The 13,279-nt window shown below is 41.7% G+C and overlaps 1 protein-coding gene across 3 annotated transcripts, besides 3 other annotated features; it reads left to right on the forward strand.

The window, feature by feature from the left end:
* LRAT (lecithin retinol acyltransferase) lies at positions 120 to 12,402 on the forward strand. 3 transcript variants are annotated; one of them, NM_001301645.2, is made up of 3 exons: positions 120 to 180; positions 3,608 to 4,148; positions 8,266 to 12,402. In NM_001301645.2, the coding sequence occupies exons 2-3, from the start codon at positions 3,609 to 3,611 to the stop codon at positions 8,416 to 8,418; spliced, it is 693 nt and encodes a 230-aa protein (NP_001288574.1). In that variant the 5' UTR covers positions 120 to 180; position 3,608; the 3' UTR covers positions 8,419 to 12,402. The 3 variants fall into 3 exon arrangements, with proteins under 3 accessions (NP_001288574.1, NP_004735.2, XP_047272361.1); NM_004744.5 differs by lacking the exon at positions 120 to 180 and adding an exon at positions 3,282 to 3,504; XM_047416405.1 differs by lacking the exons at positions 120 to 180; positions 8,266 to 12,402 and adding exons at positions 3,282 to 3,504; positions 7,471 to 7,664.
* Positions 1,095 to 1,608: an enhancer, noted in NCBI's record as "NANOG-H3K27ac-H3K4me1 hESC enhancer chr4:155662965-155663478 (GRCh37/hg19 assembly coordinates)". NCBI's record gives its function as "activates a minimal SCP1, AML or CMV promoter by ChIP-STARR-seq in naive and primed H9 embryonic stem cells {active_cell/tissue: H9 hESC(naive and primed)}" and the evidence as "EXISTENCE:reporter gene assay evidence [ECO:0000049][PMID:30033119]".
* Positions 1,609 to 2,120: an enhancer, noted in NCBI's record as "OCT4-NANOG-H3K27ac-H3K4me1 hESC enhancer chr4:155663479-155663990 (GRCh37/hg19 assembly coordinates)". NCBI's record gives its function as "activates a minimal SCP1, AML or CMV promoter by ChIP-STARR-seq in primed H9 embryonic stem cells {active_cell/tissue: H9 hESC(primed)}" and the evidence as "EXISTENCE:reporter gene assay evidence [ECO:0000049][PMID:30033119]".
* Positions 2,121 to 2,633: an enhancer, noted in NCBI's record as "OCT4-NANOG-H3K27ac-H3K4me1 hESC enhancer chr4:155663991-155664503 (GRCh37/hg19 assembly coordinates)". NCBI's record gives its function as "activates a minimal SCP1, AML or CMV promoter by ChIP-STARR-seq in primed H9 embryonic stem cells {active_cell/tissue: H9 hESC(primed)}" and the evidence as "EXISTENCE:reporter gene assay evidence [ECO:0000049][PMID:30033119]".

Genomic DNA, 13,279 nt, shown 5'->3' on the forward strand with positions numbered 1-13,279 from the left:
CCGCTCAGCACAGTCTGTCTGAGTGTTGACCAGGAAAGTCCAGGCTCTTTCTAAATCTCGCCGCCAGACCTGGTGACGCATTCGCATGTATTTAAGGCGTTTGCACGCAGAACGTTATCACAGAATGTAGCCACCTTTCTTAACGGTCCGGGAAACCAGAGGTCTCTCCAGCTACTCAGGGTAGAGGAATTTCTCCTATCTCCATGTGACATCTTCTGATTTAGAAGAACTAATGTTAGATTTCTCTTGGGCCTTTCCACCTACAGCTATAGTCTTCCCTTTGTTTAGCTAAAATTGAGGCAGGTAGGAAAATATTATTGGGGGCATAAGCCTATTAGTGTGTAAACGTATTTTTATGAAGTGTGCCTCCAGGGAGCCATTAAAAACTGACCTCTCAACCACAGAAATAGATGAGATTTTGAGAACATTGAGAAGCTGCCTTTTGCAAAGTAAATTTGCAATGGTCCTTGACGAAGGGGGGTCGGGGGCGGGGAGAAGTCCAGCCGAGAGAGGAGCTCATTCCACGCTATATTTTTGCAGTTGAAAAGCTGCCTAATCATCGCTAACCGCTTCCCGCATAAGAGTTCTGGGAAGACTTCAGAAACAAGGCAAATGAAGACTTTTCACTGCCTCCTTCGGGCTGTCGCTTCCGGAAGCCGAAGTCCTAGCACGCAGAGCAGCAGGAGAGGGTTACTTTCAGGCAATTCCACTGAGCAAAATAAATCACTTAATGGCATAACGTTCTGGCTTAAAAAATTGGAATTTATCAGAGGCAAAAATATCCTTCAAGAAACTATGGACACTCCGCGCCCTATTCATTTCCATGGCAGCAGAGTATCTGCATCTTGAGCCACCTATACAGATTCATGCCTCGTATCGCTCTCACCTCCTTTCTTTTTGAAGTAAAGCCCTTTCCCAAGAAGGCGGCCAGAAAGTGGACCCCACCGGGGGAAAAAGAAAAATGAAACGCAAATCAGCTTGGCACTGCTTGCGTCTTCCAAAACGCGGTGGGACAAGGCTATTGAGTCTATAGCTAATTCTTTCATGTATATAAAATGTATACATATGTATATATTTTTATATACATAAAAGAATTCATATATATGTATATAGCTATGTGGAGCCCTGAAGCAATTCTCCATGCTTTTGTCTCCCTCAAGTTCCCCAGGTGGAGGCAGTCATAAGCATTATAAGCCGCCTTAGTGACCACCAGGGACGGAAACCGTTAATTATCACGTTTCCTTTCATCTCCAGGGGCCCTTTGGCCCGTGACACAAGAGGCTTCGGTATTGGCGCTTTCCCAGAACTGGCCCAGAGGAGCCAGTTCAGAGTGTGAGGTCGGGTCTGCATTGAACGTACACACCGAGGTCTATCAGACTCCCCCGATTTTAGCGAAGGGTGCTGACTGCTGTGCTGCTAGAGGCTAGCAAGCTCCCTGTGCGCAGCTGATGAGTTTCAGCAACTCGCCACCTGGGCGCTTTTCTTTAAATTTTGGGAGTAAACTGGGAAAATAAAAAAATCTCCACGTCCACTGGCTCTCTCCCCTTCTCCAACTTCCTCTTTCGACTCGTTTGTGGGAGTTTTCTCCTCTTTGCTGGGACTATAATGTGATGCGCAATCGTTTGTGAATGAACAAAAGTCACCGGCAAGCAGGGAGACGGGGACAGATCGCTGACGGCAGATTGAGGGTGGCAGCAAAGGCCCGGCCTCCAAGGATAATGGGGAGCCGTTTTCCCTCACGCCTGGTCTCTATGGCCCCCTTCGTCTTCCAGGTAAAATGAATGTTCCTTCATCCATCATCCGCAGAGTACCCTCAGGCGTGCGTAGAATCTGCTGATGAAACCTATTAGCGCCGACTGGGCAGCTTTGTGGAGCCACCCGAGGCTCTCCATTGTGGCCTTTGTCTGCAGAATTTAAGCATTTACATAATGCATTAGCACGGAACTCAGCACCCGGTGGGGACATCGCGTGCCAAGCCTGGCGCGGCCAACGCTTCAGCGGCTCCCTCACCCGGCAGCTCCCTAGGACCACCCTCGAGGAGGCATTGGAGTCGGGCTGCAGGCGCACGGGCAAAGAACTTAGCATCTCATCCAAGTACTTCGCCTTCCTTGGCCGTCTCCGGGAGGTTATGCTTAAAAACATAAAAATAAAAATAAAAATAAAAATAAAGGGAGGCGGACAAAGTTTCGGTGGGTGAACTGAAGCTGGGTCCATGTGACCCTGAAGCCGGAGAAATAAACTTAACATGAATCTTGCTTTCCTGGCGGGCGTTGGGACCCCGCCGTTTTTCATGCCAACCGTTGGAAGCTTCGTACTCAACGGCCACAGGTGCCTAGGAGCGCAGAGAGGCCTCGGGTTCAAATCACCGGCGCGCAGGGACTGGACTCGCGGGTAGCGACCCCCCCAACCCCCCCCCCCCCGCCCTACACACACACCCTCGCGCCGGCTGAAAGCATGGAGGATTCAGGGCATTTGAAAAAAGAGGGGCTGGGCGCGGTGGCTCACGCCTGTAATCCCAGCGGTTTGGGAGGTCCAGAAGGGCGGATCACTTGAGGTCAGGAGTTCGAGACCAGCCTGGCCAACACCAGCCTGGCCAACATGGTGAGACCCCGTGTCTACTAAAAATACAAAAATTAGCCAGGCGTGGTGCCTGTAATATCAGCTACTTGGGAGGCTGAGGCACGAGAATCGCTTGAACCTGGGAGGCGGAGGTTGCAGTGAGCCCAGATCGCGCCACCGCCCTCCTGCTCTGGGTGATAGAGCAAGGCACTGTCTCAAAACAAAACAAAACAAAACGAAAGATTCGGTCAGGAAAGAATCTGCAGGCATTCGAGGCGCTCGCACTTTGCAAAGTAAATGCAATCTCTTTATTAAGCCGAAGTCCCTCATATCTATCCTTTTAGAGGAAGGTGGTCCAACTCAGAAATCTCTCCCAAGAGGACTTTCCACCGAAGACTACCGCGAAGTGCCAGGAACTCGCCCCAGTCCCGACAGGTGCAGGACCTTTCGTGCCGCCACACCTTGGGACTCTACCTCCCTAAATAGGCCACTTAAAAGCCAGTAGTGCAACCGGGATCCCGCGGCGATAAAGAATCACTGTGCAGAACCCTGGAGCTGGGAGTCGGCCCGCCCCCCTCCCAAAGAAACCGGGATCCCGCGTCCTCCCCGCCGCTAGCGCAGCGCGCCAGCGGCGCCCAATCAGTGAGCTTTCCGGGTCTGTGACGGCCTTCGGCTCCGCCCCCTCGACGGCCATAAAAAGTCGCAGCGAAGCCTGCACCTCCGAGCACCGCGCGCGGCCCTGCCCCCGGCACGGCCCCCAGGTGCGCTCCTTCTCCGGCTGCTTGTAGCACTGGTCTCACTGTCCCCGCCGTCAGCCACCGGTTCCTTATCCGTCTCATTCCCCATTGTGGCTTGGCTGAGCCGGTCGCCAGGCCTCGCTGTCCTCCTTTGCCTTCCTCTCTCCTCAGCGGCCGTACTTTGCGCCGTACCTCACCTGGCCTGCAGGTGAGCAGCAGCGCAGCACCCCTGCCCGGCGAGCTTAACTTGCCCAGCCCGGCCCCTGCCGGAGTGGCACCGGCACCTCTCCAAGACGCCCTCTTCCCTGCAGGATGAAGAACCCCATGCTGGAGGTGGTGTCTTTACTACTGGAGAAGCTGCTCCTCATCTCCAACTTCACGCTCTTTAGTTCGGGCGCCGCGGGCGAAGACAAAGGGAGGAACAGTTTTTATGAAACCAGCTCTTTCCACCGAGGCGACGTGCTGGAGGTGCCCCGGACCCACCTGACCCACTATGGCATCTACCTAGGAGACAACCGTGTTGCCCACATGATGCCCGACATCCTGTTGGCCCTGACAGACGACATGGGGCGCACGCAGAAGGTGGTCTCCAACAAGCGTCTCATCCTGGGCGTTATTGTCAAAGTGGCCAGCATCCGCGTGGACACAGTGGAGGACTTCGCCTACGGAGCTAACATCCTGGTCAATCACCTGGACGAGTCCCTCCAGAAAAAGGCACTGCTCAACGAGGAGGTGGCGCGGAGGGCTGAAAAGCTGCTGGGCTTTACCCCCTACAGCCTGCTGTGGAACAACTGCGAGCACTTCGTGACCTACTGCAGATATGGCACCCCGATCAGTCCCCAGTCCGACAAGGTATGATGTGTGACTCCCAGGGGAAGTGGGCTCCGCGGAGATGCCCCCTCCCATCCCTGACCTTTTCTCTTCCCCGCGAGTAGGGATCTAATTCCTGGACACCTCCCCTACCACTTCCATACCATCCTTTTTCTTTTTCCTTTTTTTTTTTTTTTTTTTTTTTTTTTTTTGAGACGGAGTCTCGCTCTGTTGCTCAGGCTGGAGTGCAGTGGCGCGATCTCCACTCACTGCAAACTCCGCCTCCAGAGTTCACGCCATTCTCCTGCCTCAGCCTCCTGAGTAGCTGGGACTACAGGCACCCGCCACCACGCCCGGCTAATTTATTTTTGTATTTTTAGTAGAGATGGGGTTTCACCGTATTAGCAAGGATGGTCCCGATCTCCTGACCTCGTGATCCTCCCGCCTCAGCATCCCAAAGTGCTGGGATTACAGGCGTGAGCCACCGTGCCCGGCCTTCCATAACATTCTTAAAGTTCTAGATTAAGTAAGGAAAGTTCTGGTGTTCCTAAGGTAGGCTAAGTAAATAAGCAAATGGCAACGTGCCTTGCAGGATATCTCGAAATGCTTAGAGAAAGGATGTGGCAATGCAGGACCGCTTCCAGAGATTCCAGAGCTGCCCAGTATTGCTGCAGAAGTCATCAGGTGTCCACCCACAGTGTAGTTCAAACGACAAAGGGCAAGTGACTGGGGGTGGGGGATACAAGGAATCAGTCACCGCTGCTTGCAACTTTAACCAAGAATTTCACTTGAAAGGAAGAGGTCCAGAGTTTATATTTAATCCATAACACTATAAACAAAGTGTGTGCCTTTAAAATAAGGAACCATGCAGTTTTCTCCCTTTGAAAGCTGCATAGAGGGATTTTTCATTGCTTGCTATAAGCTATCAAAATTCCCAGTAAGAGGGCCCCCCTGGTAGTTCCCTTATTCTTTGTGTTGGTGCTTCAGAGTTGTATTTTCCATGGTATTCTGAATTCTTTCTGGGTTGGCTTTGATCCTCATCTAGACTTCATTGTTAAGCATCCTTTACCCATTAGCCCTGAAGGTAGATTACATTGTTTATGGGTTCCCCAGAGATCAATACAATTAGTTTTCAAGAAGAGATGTTAAACATTGGAAGGTAATTTTTATGAGTATTTTGAAAAAATACTCATGATTATTAAATTAGCCACAAATCCAAAGGGAAAAATGGATTTTTATTTCCTTTTAAAACCTCTTAACTTTTAAAAATAGTTAAGATTTTAAGCCTGAAACTTCACTTACAATTGGAAACTTTCTCAGCCTTCATTGCACTTGTTAAAGAAGTCATTGTTAATGTTCAGTCTTTATAATGGAAACCTGGGCAATAACATATGAGCTTTAGTGTTACTCTTCATGTTTAGATATTTTTGGGACCAGAAAAAGCTAAGTCAGTTTTTTTCATGTAACCAGTTTTTAATTGCTCCACATCTTGGTTAATTTTTTTGACCCATTTGGGAACATCTTTCTCTATCCTCTGTGGGAGAGCATGGAAGTATTTTGCTTTTATAGATCGGTGTATGAAACTCCTTATAGATTTTATAGAGCCACAAAAGACTCAATCTAGGAATTCTTTTCCAAGTAAAATAAAAATACAGTTAGAGCACTGTGCAGCGATTCAAGAATCACAGCTCTAGTCCAGGCCTGTTTAGAAATGAACTCCACCACATTTACAAACACGGGCTCCCAAAGTGTACAAAAGGAAACATGTCAGATTTACTTAGGAACCAAGCAAATCATTTCTCTAAGGAAAAACAGTATTTCTATCAGGTAATTAGGAGTTACCCTTTCATGGAACACATATAGCGCTGCATTATATATTTCTACAGAAAAACAGTAACTAGTGCTTTTGTAAGGTAGTAAAATATTTAATCTGCATAAATAACTAGTTGGAGTAGTTTTTCATCTTTGGAAACTTTGTTAGGGTCTACAGAAGTAGAGAAGTGTTTTAATTGCTGTTGCTGCATAGCACCTCTTGTGAAACTGAGTTTTGTCTTCACTTTGAATGGTCTAACAAACAATTTGGCCACAGAGTAGATTTCCCGGGGGAAAAAAAAAAGTTTTCATCCCAAATTTCCTAATTCTACAAACTGTTTTTGAACATGCACTGAGAGAAGTAGGTCATTAATACTGAAGGAAGGACTGGTTTCTACTTTTTAGAAACATAAGAAATTATTTGATTCTGGGTCTGATTGCTGAGTTCTCCATATATGCAACTAATATTAACATGAGAGTTACAAAGTTGCCTCTTACTTAAATTTGAGTTAATAAAAACTCTCAAGAACACACTACCCCTAAGGAAAACACTGCAATTAGTTTGCAAATGAATGAACTGGAAAAGAACATTTACTCCTTTGTGGTAACACTCTATTTTACAAGTTTAGAAGTCATAAAATAATGGGATTTTTATAATACTGTTGACAATCAGTATTTTGTAAACTAAAAATTCCTTTGGTTAATAACTATTACTATTCCTTATGCTTTTTCTACTATGATTTTTTTTTACTTTGTTAATACTGCTCTTTCATTGCCAAAAATGATTGCAAATGCCCCTTTTAATTTGTGTGGATTGAGTGCTCACAAGAGTGTTCCTACAGACTTATTGACCCCTTCTAGAAATTTCCTACTGTTGAGCACCACTAAAGATGCCTGCTGGTCTGCTGACCAAGTGAACAGGAACAGGGTATTAGACATGAGTTGCTTTTTGAGAAAAATCTGCTTTTGTGGGAAATACAGTCGAAAATGATTCTGATTGACTTAATTATAAATTACCAAGGAAAAAAATAAGGATAACTGTATTTACAACTTAGTCATTTACAAAAATATGTCTTCCATCAACCTCCTTTTCTCCTTGTCCTGAAAACTTCAATTTGATCTTTACCATCTTAAAATAGTATACTTCTCAATGCCTTGCTAGTTTATTAAAAAAGGACAAATAGTATGTCTGATAGAAAAATAGGCCAACATCTAGATAAGTTTCACACTTGTTTAGGTAATTGTGTAAAAGTATGGATAGAGATAACCATACTGTCAAAGTGGTGTATTAAAACATATTGAACTTGTTCATTCTATCACTTAATAATTTGGAAACCTAGCTGCCCAGTACCATGTAAGCCACTGTAGAAAACCCTAAAAGAACATAAAATGCCATGTCTAGAAACAGAGCTTAAAATTAGTATGAATAGCAAAACCCATATAGAAATGACTGACAATCACTGCATTCTGGCATCAACGGCAATATGGTAGAGATAACTGTCAACAAATAGAGTACTAATAATAATCACTGTAATACCTTATGTTTATACAGCACGTAGAAGAATACAGAGGACTTGTGCATCAAACATCTCAGTTAATCCTCAGAACAATTTGAGTGTTCCCATTTGACTACTTGAGGTGACATAGCCAATAAGAGCTGGAGCCAGGACTCAGACATAGGCCATCATTTCTAAGTAAAATTATTTTTCTAAGGAAAACATTACACATATTAGAAGGATGCATTCCTCAGGGGTAAGGACAATATTTGTCTTTTTTTCCAGCAGCCAGTTATGTGTCACATAATTGATCCTGAATTTAGCATATTTAGTCAGGAAATGGGATTTGACAATAAAATTAGACTTTCTATGCCTGTAGATTTTGAGACTTATAAAAAAGTTATCATTGGTATCATTAGATTTTAGAATGGCAGATTGGAGGAATTGAATCTACTTTTAATTGGCCAAATTCTATTATTTTTACTCAAGATTAGAGACACCTCTTTGCTCATCTAATTTTAAAATATGCTATTGTTATTGATAAGCAGTTTGATGTTTTAAACCTTTAGTCCTGAATAACCATGTGGTTATACTTTCTATAGTTTTCTATAAATGCTGTATTTACATAGGCAACTGCCATTATTAGTTGCCTAAGGGATCATTTCTGCTACTATACGGTATAGAATCAGAACTGGACTCTTAACATTGTAAATTTTTTTGTAAGTCATAAGAAAAAGTCTAGTTCTTCTGGTAGACAGAAAATAGCTGGGAAAACTGATTTACTGTTTGATATATGTGATTCTTCTTGGGTTTAGCCACCTTTCCTAATTTTCCAATATTTTATTTTCCAGTTTTGTGAGACTGTGAAGATAATTATTCGTGATCAGAGAAGTGTTCTTGCTTCAGCAGTCTTGGGATTGGCGTCTATAGTCTGTACGGGCTTGGTATCATACACTACCCTTCCTGCAATTTTTATTCCATTCTTCCTATGGATGGCTGGCTAACTTCATACCCCCATGTCAGTGTGTGTATTCTGTATGTAAATATGTTTATATTTATAGAGCATCAATCAATATAAGCATTATTGAGAAAAATGTGACCCGTAACACTGTGTTCTGGATAAAAATGTGATTAGGAATCACGCAAAGTGCTTACTGTGTAAGCCCAAGAACAAAGGCTTTCTGAATCTTCTCAGGCAGTTCAGATTTAAAGCACCATCCAAACCTTGGAAATACGACAGGGTGTGGTAGAATTCAGCAATATGAGAAAACCAGCCCCTAAAATGATAGCCACAAGAGATTAATTGTGTTTTTTTTTCTCCTGTAATCCTTGTACTGTTCGGCTGAATTTGAAGATTGGAAGACTTATATTGAGACCAGTAACTTTACTGTAAATTTACTTTGTTTCATTGAAAAAACAAATTGATAAACATATTAAACTGGAAGAATTTTCTTTATTCAAATGAAAACATGTTTGATGACTGGTCAAAAAATAAGCTCATAATCTATTTTTTTCATGTAGTATATAAGTCAAGAATGTTTTATTGTCATTATGTGAAACCAATATTGGCAAATAGTACTTTAATGATGAAGTAAATGACCAGAAATTATAGAAATCTGTGTTTTCCTGTAAAAATAGCACTATAGTATCACTTGAACAATTTGATTTGGCTTTACTTACTAGGAAGCCTGGAATTCATTATTTTTTTCCTTTTATGTGCCACTGTGGCTACTTTAAATCACTCTGAGAGGTAAATGGATATAGGATTGAAGTTATGTGGGTATTTGGCATGTGTGTGTGAAATAAATATGTAGATAGTCACATATACACAGACTGAGAGATAAATTGTTCTTGATTGCTTTATTATCATCATACTAGTGTGTTCATTATAGAGTATCTGTAGAGGTGAATGTAAAAGTAAGTCCAATCTATTTTCTTATGTCATTGAATTTGTAGTGTTAACTTGCATATATGTTATTGGATGGGTTGTCTTTTAAAGCATTTACTAATGTACTCTGAAATTTTTAAAAGCCTTCAGATTTGTTTTCTAGTCACTTTTTTCCATATCATTTCTAATTATAGTTTATATCCTTAAAAGAAGGATGCCACAGTAGTATGTAAAACCCAAACAAGTAGAACCCAAGCAAATAAAATTATTTAAAATAATTTTAAAGTGGCTTAGTACTGCCAGTCATGTAAATTGATTCTGCTGAGGGTCTTATAAGAATTGAGATATAACAATGGTAAAACAAGCATTCAAGCACTTTTACAAAATTACCAAATTCTTAAAATGAAGCCACAGCTAGACTTGCATTTCAGGTATTAAAATTGCTTTCTTAACTGTCAAGAATCACAAAATAACAAATCATATTATGAGTGAATATGGGGAGGGCGGGGCCAATCAGTCAATGATAATCTGAACAAATTTTAAGAGCAGATTTTAGATTAATAATGTTTTATCACCACTAATTTGCCCACAACAAACTCAGTATTTAATTTTTCAAATTAAATATTAAATTATTTAAGTATTTTAAATAATTAAAACATTAAATGGCAACACCATAGAATATAGGTGTTCTCTGGACCTATTCTAACCACTTAAAATTATCTTAAGTATGCATACATAAAAGCAACCACTATGAGAACTACCGTGTTAGTGGTTTTTCACTTACTGTATATTACCCTTGTAGGAATAGTTTAAGGAAATTCATTTCTTAAAAATATAGTGTCCTCAAATAATTAATTTTTTTGCAAACTTTAGTTATTACAGGCAGCAAAAACCACTGTCTGAAACTAAATCTGTGTTCAAAGATGAAGACCCCTCATTAAAAGCCAAGGACGTTCTTAAGATTGGAACTGACATAATTAGTCTTGACTTACTTCATTAAAGCAAGATTCAATTCCTTGTTCATTTGAGTGTTCATTATATGCCAGGCATTGACCAGTTGCAATTTTATGGTCCAGAATTAATATTATTATTCGTAAACTAGCTATAATAGAGTATATACAGTGCTGTGGGAATACAGGGGAAGAAGCAATTAAATCTGCTAGAAGGGTAAGAGAAATCTGTATGCAGGAGGCAATGCTAGCATTAAGCCAAGAAATAGTGTGAGGTGATCTTATCACACTGATGTGTTCAACTGTTTATGGGAAAAGGAAACTAGGATGGTTTTATTTGTGAAATGTTCTACAACGCTAGAACTGTTGAACTTCTTGGGAGAAAAGGAGAATCTTTGTTTTGTTGTGCTGAGTTTGATTAGTTGCTTAACCAAGTAGAAAGAAAAGCACATCTTCCTGATCACAGTTATAAAAGAAACCCTGAGGCCGGGCGCGGTGGCTCAAGCCTGTAACCCCAGCACTTTGGGAGGCCAAGGAGGGAGGATCACAAGGTCAGGAGATCGAGACCATCCTGGCTAACACGGTGAAACCCCATCTCTACTAAAAATACAAAATTAGCTGGGCGTGGTGGCCGGCGCCTGTAGTCCCAGCTACTCATGAGGTTGAGGCAGGAGAATGGCGTGAACCGAGGAGGCGGAGCTTGCAGTGAGTGGAAATTGCGCCACTGCACTCCAGCCTGGGCAACAAAGTGAGACTCCATCTCAAAAAAAAAAAAAAAAAAAAAAAAAAAAAAAGAAGAAGAAACCCTGAGCCATTAATGTGTCTCGTAACTTGAGGAAGTTCATGAATTCTCTGGGCTTCATCCATTAAGATTCATCCTTATGCTCCTGCAAGTTTCTTATATTTATGTATTTCTATTCTGATTTCTGAAATGATAACCTAGTAGTGTCTGATGAAGTTTTTTCATGCTTATTTTATTCTTTGTCACAGATGAAAGAAGAATAGGACTAATTGGGGCTAAGATGAATTAATGTAAGTGTCAGATACTAGGCAGGTGTTAGGGATGAAATGATGAATGAGGCATGGACCTGTTCCTCAGAGTTTATGGCCCAGTAGACATAATTGTATTAGGACTTTCTGCAGTTGACATTTGCATAAAGCTGACTGACTGAAGGAACAGAAAGTGAGACAGACAGATATGACCAAATTTATACAAACCATGTACCAACACTTGAAAGATGGGTGGATATTTTCCAGGAAACAGATTTTGGGCAGGACATTCCATGCACTGGAAATAGCATGAACAAATGCATGAAAATTGCCTACAACATGCCTGGCACATAGCTGTGAGGTACCCTATGAGTTGTTGACTTGAAAACATGGAACTGCACAGGGCATTCAGGCAAGTGCAAGTGGTTCAGGGGCCAGCGCAGAGCAGAGTGCTGAGTAAAGATGTCAGAAAAGGAAAGCAATGGTCTGGTACAAGTCTTGTATAGAACAAGAAGTTTAGACTTTTGAACAGGCAATCGAGATTTGGGGTTCAGAAAGATAAATCCCAAAAGTATGGAGAACAAAGGAACTCATTTTAAAGGACTAGCTAAGATGCTCAATCTCTAAAAAAAAAAGGATCTGTATTCGTGAGAGTAGAGAGAAAGGTTGTTTAGGAAGAGTCAACAGACTTTAGCAAAATCCTTTTATTTGATTCATGCATAACTCCTGATGGAGTGTCAAGGAAGACTCATTCACTTTTCTTTCCTGCCAGAAAGTTGGTTCTTGCAAAATAGATTAACTTGATGACTATGTGTATATTGGATACTCCTAATTTTAGCTCTGTTAGATATGTTTCTTTCTAAGGACAAGCAACTATGTATAGACTTGTTGTTTGAATTTTTTTTCAGTATATATATGTTTCTTGTTTTTCTATTTTTCTACTTCATACTGTTAATGTCAAATATCAAAAATGTTTTCCAGCAATATCAAGTTATGGCAATGGCAAAAGTCCTTGTTGTAGATGAGAAGCATATAAGAAATGGTTGCCAATCTTTGTTTTGTATGATCTATTTAGAGTTTTAACCAACCTAGATCTGTCAGCTAAGCTAATTTTATATTTGGTATACATGCATGTCAAATAAAGTTAATTTTACATACTATTCTCTCTTTAAATTTTAAATACATAAATGTAGATCACAAACTTTTTTTTTCAGCGTGGTAGCCTGAAGAATTTTGTCTTTCCAATCTTCCTTTACAGATTACCAAACTTAGTTTTATGCATTTGAAGTTAAAACTTTATGTGGATCTGTCTTCAGACTGATAATATCTATGTTATCCATATCTTGAAGCCTACCTTGATTGTGTAGGAATAGGTTCTGTGTAATATTAAATAACATATCCCTTCTCCATTGCACAAAATTAAGTAACAATGACAACAAATAATTAGTCATAATATGAACTCTATACAGTTGACCCTTGGGCAAAACAAGTTTTGTTTGTTTTTGTTTTTGAGACAGGGTCTCTCTTTGTCTTACAGGCTGCAGTGTAGGGACACAATCCTAGCTCACTGTAATCTCAAACTCCTGGTCTCAAGCGTTCCTCCTGCCTCAGCCTCCTAAGTAGCTGGGACTACAGGTGCATGCCACAATGCCCAGCTAATTTTCAATTTTTTTGCAGAGATGGAGTCTTGCTATGTTGCCTGGGCTGGTCTTGAACTCCTGGCTTTAATTGACCCTCCCACCTAAGCCTCCAAAAGCACTAGGATTATGGGTGTGAGCCACCAGGCCCAGCGACAACATGGGTTTTAACTGGGTGGGTCCATTTACGTGCAAAATTTTTCAACCAAATGTGGACAGAAAACCAAGTATTCCTAGGATCTGAAACCTGCTTATATAGGGAGGGCCAACTTCTGTATATGTGGGTTCCAGTTCCTGCAGGGCTGACTGCCAGACTTGACTATGTGTGGATTTGGGTGTACATGGGGGTCCTGGGCCAAACCTCTGAAGATATCGAGGGAACACTGTAACCAGATTTATG

This window comes from Homo sapiens, chromosome 4, assembly GCF_000001405.40.
Source record: "Homo sapiens chromosome 4, GRCh38.p14 Primary Assembly".
In the NCBI taxonomy this organism is placed as follows: Eukaryota; Metazoa; Chordata; class Mammalia; order Primates; family Hominidae; genus Homo; species Homo sapiens.